This window comes from Homo sapiens, chromosome 2 (assembly GCF_000001405.40).
Source record: "Homo sapiens chromosome 2, GRCh38.p14 Primary Assembly".
NCBI classification, from domain to species: Eukaryota; Metazoa; Chordata; class Mammalia; order Primates; family Hominidae; genus Homo; species Homo sapiens.
In genome coordinates this window covers 240,397,071-240,403,451 of record NC_000002.12, presented here as the reverse complement: position 1 = coordinate 240,403,451, position 6,381 = coordinate 240,397,071, and the positions used below count along the sequence as shown (strand labels likewise).

Here is a 6,381-nt window from a genome sequence, read left to right as displayed (position 1 = left end):
ACGTGAATCATTTCTTGACTTTTTGAAAGCCTTTGATGGGTTGAATTATTTTCCACATCTCTGACACTTTGCTCAGAGTTTCTTTAACTTTGCGCATTTTGGAAATCGCTTTCAAACTTTAATTTTAATCTTCTTTGAAAATGGGGCCCTACGAAACCACTTCGATTCCACACGAGGCTCCTGCATGCCCAGGAAGTGTTATGCTTCTGAGGCTGCTCATTTTGGAAACAAGTTTATAACTAAGAAAAGGAAATCACAGAACGGTGAATCTTCCTGGACAGTTTCATTTCAGGCACCCATTGCGGCCCCTCCCAGCCAGGCCCGAGCACCTGGTTCCCACTCACCCTCCGCGGGGCCTCCTGCCAGGCCAGGCTCCGCAGTCCACAGTGGTCCACACGATTCCACAGCCCCGTGTCACCCCAGCTCTCACCAAGCTCTGCCCGGGGTCTCCCCCACCCCTCCACAGCCACCGTGCACCTGAATCCAAGAAGCAGGCACAATCCTAAGAGCAAACTTACAGGGCTCACCTCCTCCCAACGGGACCAGACACTGAGGACCTTTCCTGGGAGCGGGGGCAGGAGGGGATGATGGGGGCTGGGATCTTGAGCCCCTCAGACAATGGATGGCCCTGGGGGCCAGGTGAGGATGGACTGAGCAGAGGGAGCTCATGGCAGCAAGGCTGTGGGACCCGGCGGCAATGGGTGGTGGGAAGGAGAGGTGAAGGTGGGCTCCAGTGGGCTTTGGGTGCCGCACTGAGGGGATCCGCTGGGGCTTTGGTTGAGGGCAGGCCTCTGCTGACTCGGGCACTGGTGGAGAATGTGGAGTCTGATGGGTCTGGGGGCCATGTTCTTGGGGAGACTGTCTGGGGTCGGGGTGTGGCTGGAGCTTGGATCCAGCCAGGGGCCTTGGCTGTGAGGAGGGGCTCCCCTGAGTCCTCTGGAATCTGGAAGGGGTGGGGCAGGAGAGGAGCGAGGACTTCGGCTGCGATAGGCACCGTCTATATCCCTTTCCAGCCCAGTAAAGACACAATGAGAATGAGTCAGGGAGGACCAAAGGCCAGGGCAGGTGGGGGCTCAGAGGGGCAAGTTGCCAGGGCCCGGCTGGTACAGGGCAGGGTCCCTGAGCTGGGGGCAGAGGAAGGTGGAGGCGGGGGCAGAGAGGCAATGGCAACGGAGGAAAGGGGGCTCCTGCTGGGAATCAGAACCCAGAGTGGGGAGCTCAGCCTGCGGGGAGGGGTGTGCCTTGCTCTGGGCGTGGGGTGCAGGAATCCTGGGGTGCAGGGACAGGGAGGGGCCTTGCACCGCTCCTCAGGGTGGAGCCCCAGCAGCAGGTTCTCTCCTGAATCCTCTGCACTATGAGACAGACAGGTGGCTAGACTCAGGGGGACACAAGGCTTAGACCTGAACGTGGGCGAGCCTCCTGGCGGGGACCTGGAGAGCCCAGGTCAGGGCTTTGCCGGGCGGGGTGGGCACTGTCTGGGGAGCAGCGGGTGCCTCCCCCCTGGACTTGGAATGAAGAGTGCTGGGAGAGGAAGGGCCTTGTCTCTAAAGAGCTCCTTCTTCTCCTTCTTCTCCCAGGCCCTGGGCTCCCGCCCCTTCTTGCGGGGATCCCGGGTGTGGGGTGGCGTCTGCTTTTTGCTGGTCGGAGGCTCCACGTTAGGTGTTGGGCTCCTCTGAGGGAAGTTTTCACCCCCTCTCCTGGACTCTGATTAAATACCTGGGCCCAGAACTGCCTCTGGGAGGAAGATGGGGACAGAGAGACAGACACAGAGGGGATCTTTGGGATCAGTCTGAGGTTCCAGCCACTGTGCTACAGGCTGTGCTTCAGTGTCCCTGAGGCTGTGAGATGCACAGGGCTGTGGCTGCTGGTGGGAGGGTTGCTGCTGCACTGCCTTCCTCTGAGAAATGACGCCCCTGCCTCCTCCCGCTCTGTGGGCACAGGGTTTCCTGCCCCCCGCTCCGTGGGTACAGGGTTTCCAAGCACCCCACTCCGTGGGCACAGGGGTTCATAGACCCCTGCTCCGTGGGCACAGGGGTTCCCGCACCCCGCTCCATGGGCACAGGATTCGTAGCCGGCCACTGTTCGAGTTTCCTAGGGCTGCTGTAATAAGCGACCCTCAAACCAGTGGCTTAAAACAGCACAAGTTAATTCCCTTGCCGCTCTGAGGGGCCGAAGTCCCATGGTGCAGGGGTCCCATGGCTGCTCCTCTGAGGCTCTAGGGGACAGAGTCAGCTTCCTGACCTTTCCAGGGTGAGTTGGGGTGTCTTTTCTTGACTCCCAGGAGATGGTCCTGCTGTGGGCAGTGGGATGGATATCAAGGTACTCATCCACCCCCAGCCCGACCCAGATCCTCATCTACAGACTGAGGGGCAATGGATGGGGTCACAGAAACCCTTGGGAGCTTCCATCCTCCCAGCAAAATGGCATGACCTGTGGCCGTCCACATGACTGTGCGCGTGCCTATGCACGGTCAGGGCTGGGACCCATGTCCACACACAACATGCACCCACGGTCCCTCCCCGGCCCCTCCCTGTGGATATCCTGCATGCTCATATGATGTGCGCCCAGACGCCAGCTCATAAACACACCCAGCCAAACGCCCCGAGGCTGCATTCCCCATCCCAGCAGAGAGCCCGCTGGGCCCTCCCCAGAGCCCGGAGTGGTCTGTATGCCTCCTCTGGGCTCATGCAGGCCTTGGGGGGTGTGGTGATGGTGGCGCTTGTGGAGGGTGGCTCCCAGCTGCAGGGACTACCCTTCTCTCTGGGGCCGGGCTCTGTACCTCCCGTCTGCAGCCTGTCCCCTTTGATGTGCCATCCTCCATCCTGGCTGCACAGGCCTTGTCTGGGCAGGCATCGACCGTCCCACCTCCTGGGCTGTGGGTCCCTGAGGGCAGTGGGGCAGGTGCAGCAGCTGCAGAGACCCAGCAGCTGCAGAGACCCTGCACCTGCCCGTCCCAGAGCTCAGACCCCTTATCTCCCTGTTCCTTCTCCCCTTCGATCTCCGGGACCCTCCCCACCTGGCCCCCAATCCTCTGATGGAAAAACTGAGGCTGAAAAAATCAAGTCATACATGAAAAATCGTGGGCAGGGCCTGGGGCAGGGGTCTCCAGAGGAGCCCTGCCAGCCCTGCCTGTGGCTGGAACAGAACCCCTGGCCCTTTCCTGTGCTCCCTCCTCTCTCTAGCCCCGCAAGCCCTGCTGTCCTGGTGGCAGCACCGCCCAGGGCTGGTTTGTAGAGGGGAAGGCTGCGCCTCAAAGTTGTGGGCTCACCTCGGACAGGTGCAGTTCTGGAGAGGGTAGGCATCTAGTCAAGGTTCCCAAATTTGGGCAGTGCCAAAAGAGAGGCTGCCCAGCCCCGCCCTTCCCTGTCCTGCGCCTGCCCTGCACCTCCCACAGGTGGCTGTTAAACACCTGAGTCCTGTGTCCAGGCTGGTGGGTCCCTGAGTCCTGTGTCCAGGCTGGTGGGCACCCGAGGCCTGTGTCCAGGCTGCCCTGATCACCCCTTACCTTCCAGAGCAGGCTTCTATGGACTGAGGCCATTCTCTAGATATATTCCTATGAAAAGATGACGTGTTGTGGTCACAGCAGGGTGGCCCTCACTGTAGGCTGGTGGGTCCCTGGTGTGCGCTGGTCAGGGCCCTTGGCAGAATGGAGCCAGCACTTGGTGAGTTCCCAGCCCATCCTTTCACCTTACCGACCCTCCCGGTTACAAACGACACACCCCTGGGAAGGCTAGGGAAGCTGGAGAGGGCATCCTCACTGCTGGCCTCCAGGGTGGGATGGAGGAACCTGCCTGCTCCCGTCCCCTGCCCTCCCCTCAGGGCAGGACCAGCCTGGGCCTGGCTGCCTGGAAAGATGGACAAGAGATCAGGAGGACAGAATCCCTGCCCAGCGGGGGGCAGGGCAGGGGACAGGGAGGATGGCCTTCTCAGCCCCCTCAGGGCCAGGGGCCTGGGAAAGTGACTTCTGGAACCACTGTTAGCTCCAGAAACACAGACAAATGGATGGGAGGGGTAATTCCAGCTTCAGATAATAACCCAAGTGAGGCTAAGTGGATTAGAAAGTTAAATGCAGAAATAAAACTACGGCCAATTCTAAGGTAAGACGTGTGTCTTAGGTCAGGGTCTAGAAACACCTCTAGGGTGGAGGCCTGTTGGGGACACGTTGGGGTCCATATCCTGGTGTGAGGGCAGCAGTGTGGGCAGAGAGAGGTGGGGCTGGGAACAGCTGCCCGGAGGCTTCCCGAGACCCCTGCCCTCTCCCTTCCCAGGTGTCTGCATCCTGGACACGGCTGGGCCTGGGGCTTCACACCCTGACACCCACCAGTCACTGATGTTGCTGTCTGGAAAGGGCGTCACCCAGGCATCGGATCCCCCTGCTGAGGTCACCTCCTGGGGAAGGGTCTCATAAAGCCACGCGGCTCCGGGGGAACCCAGCACTCGCTTTTGGGGGGACCTGGGGAGGCAGCACAGCCTCAATGCCCCCACCAGCCCCACACGCTCAGAGTTTTGGGGGGATGCACTCCGAGTGGATGTGAAAAGATGAAGTGGGGCACCCCACACCCTGGCGCCTGCGGGCTGCCCCGTGGCCTGCTGGACAGACCTTGCTCAGAGGGAGAAAATGAGGGGTCTGCTGTGCTGTCCCAGAGGGGCTCCATTTCTGCTTAGGCCAAGCCCAGCCTGCCGGGCCAGTCTCGCTGGGCTCCGGCCACCCGGCCCCAGCAGCCCAGGGAGGGAGGGGTGGGCGCCTCCCATGTCTGCACCTCCTTCCGCCTTTGGGTCCTAACATGTTCACATGTGTATTAGCAGTCACTTGTGAAATACGGCATTTTAAACTTCTGGAAAACTTCTAAGGGACAGCATAAAAGTAACAAAGTGAAGGAAGAAGCCAGGGAGACACAGATGTTCCATTGGAAAGCCTGGAAATTTACAAACATCTGCATTTCAGAAAACACCATCAGCAGAAGGCAGAGGCCCTGCCGGTGGGAGCAGTGCTCGCAGCCCGTGGGAAAGACGGTGGCTGGTGGCGCGGCTCTCCAGGCTCTCAGAGGCCAGTGTAGGGATGGACGCTGGCGTCAGTGGGGCCCTGCGGTCTGTAAGGGAAGAAGCACCGGTGGCCAGACGTGGGAAAAACCATCCAAACTTGTTTTGAATTAGAAACATGACAGATATTTCAGATTTTGTTGGCAGTGATTTATGCTGGCTTTAAATATTTTTCTCTGTAATTTTTGCTTTTTTGCAATTTCTGAATTTCCGGTATTTTCTTTAGAATCAGAAGAAGGGAAGGAGCTGGTGATGAGGCGTGGCCACTTGTCCCCCTGGTGCAGTTAGAAGTGAGTCCTTGGACGACGACGAGGGTCAGAGAGCATTTCGGCAGCGCCTCCCAAGGCACTGGCACTGCACCTGTCACTTAGTGCTTGTCACCATCCTGTGTTCAGGGCTAGGGTATTTCTGGTGGGGACACTACAGGCCCAGACAGTGAAGTTCAAAGAGGGTTGGTGACTTGACCAAGGACCACAGCCAGGAGGACCCTCCTGCCTGCTGTCTTTTCTGGGCCTGAAGATTATCTGCAATTACTTCTGCCACGTCTTGTTCAGCTTCTGCGAGCCTGAGGCAGGGCCTCGCCCTGGCAGGCGGACTCCACGGTGCTGGAACCCTGACTCCTGCTGTGTCCCACACACCCGGTGGCAGCAGGCCAAAGGTGGGGTCTGGAGCCTCCAGACCTGGGCTAGATCCTAGATCCTGGCCCATCCTCCTGGCTGTGGTCCTCAGTCAAGTCGCCAACCCTCTTTGAACTTCACTGTCCTCGTCTGTAGAAAGGGGTTGGTAACATCCCTATTCCGAGTCATAGCCCCTGGACTGTGCCAGAGCTCACAGGACTCTGGGCAGTGCAGGGGGTGCTGGAGGGGTAGTCCCGGGTCACCTGGGGTTTGGTAAAAAAAAAAAGAGTGGCCTGGCCTAGAGGGTCTGCCAGGAGCACGCCATGAGGCAGGGAGTCTGGACGATGCTGCACTGGCCTACCTGCCAGAGGCCTGCCATGGGGCCCACCTGTAGGATGGAGTGGGCAGTGCCCTGGCCCTGGCCAGCCTGGCCCTGACTCTCGGTGGAGCCTGTGTCTTGCCCCTGCATTGTGATGTCAGGAGAGCTGGTCCCACTCTGGTTAGGAGGGTGGGTGTGGGCTCCCGCTGGGCACTAGGCGGTGCCGGGCCTGACTCATCCCCAGGGTCTGGCCAATACATGGGGCCCCTGCTGGTGCCCTTCCGACCTTCAGTCTTCACTTCGTATTTCTATACTTATGTTTATTCTAAAAGTAATGCAAATTTGGTTACAAAACATCTGGAAAGAGAGAAGAGAAAACTAGCTGAACACAAGCAAGCTCAGCAT

General features: G+C 59.3%; 2 annotated features.

Moving 5' to 3' along the window:
- Window positions 2,689-3,327: an enhancer, noted in NCBI's record as "H3K4me1 hESC enhancer chr2:241339542-241340180 (GRCh37/hg19 assembly coordinates)". NCBI's record gives its function as "activates a minimal SCP1, AML or CMV promoter by ChIP-STARR-seq in naive H9 embryonic stem cells {active_cell/tissue: H9 hESC(naive)}" and the evidence as "EXISTENCE:reporter gene assay evidence [ECO:0000049][PMID:30033119]".
- Window positions 3,968-4,606: an enhancer, noted in NCBI's record as "H3K4me1 hESC enhancer chr2:241338263-241338901 (GRCh37/hg19 assembly coordinates)". NCBI's record gives its function as "activates a minimal SCP1, AML or CMV promoter by ChIP-STARR-seq in naive H9 embryonic stem cells {active_cell/tissue: H9 hESC(naive)}" and the evidence as "EXISTENCE:reporter gene assay evidence [ECO:0000049][PMID:30033119]".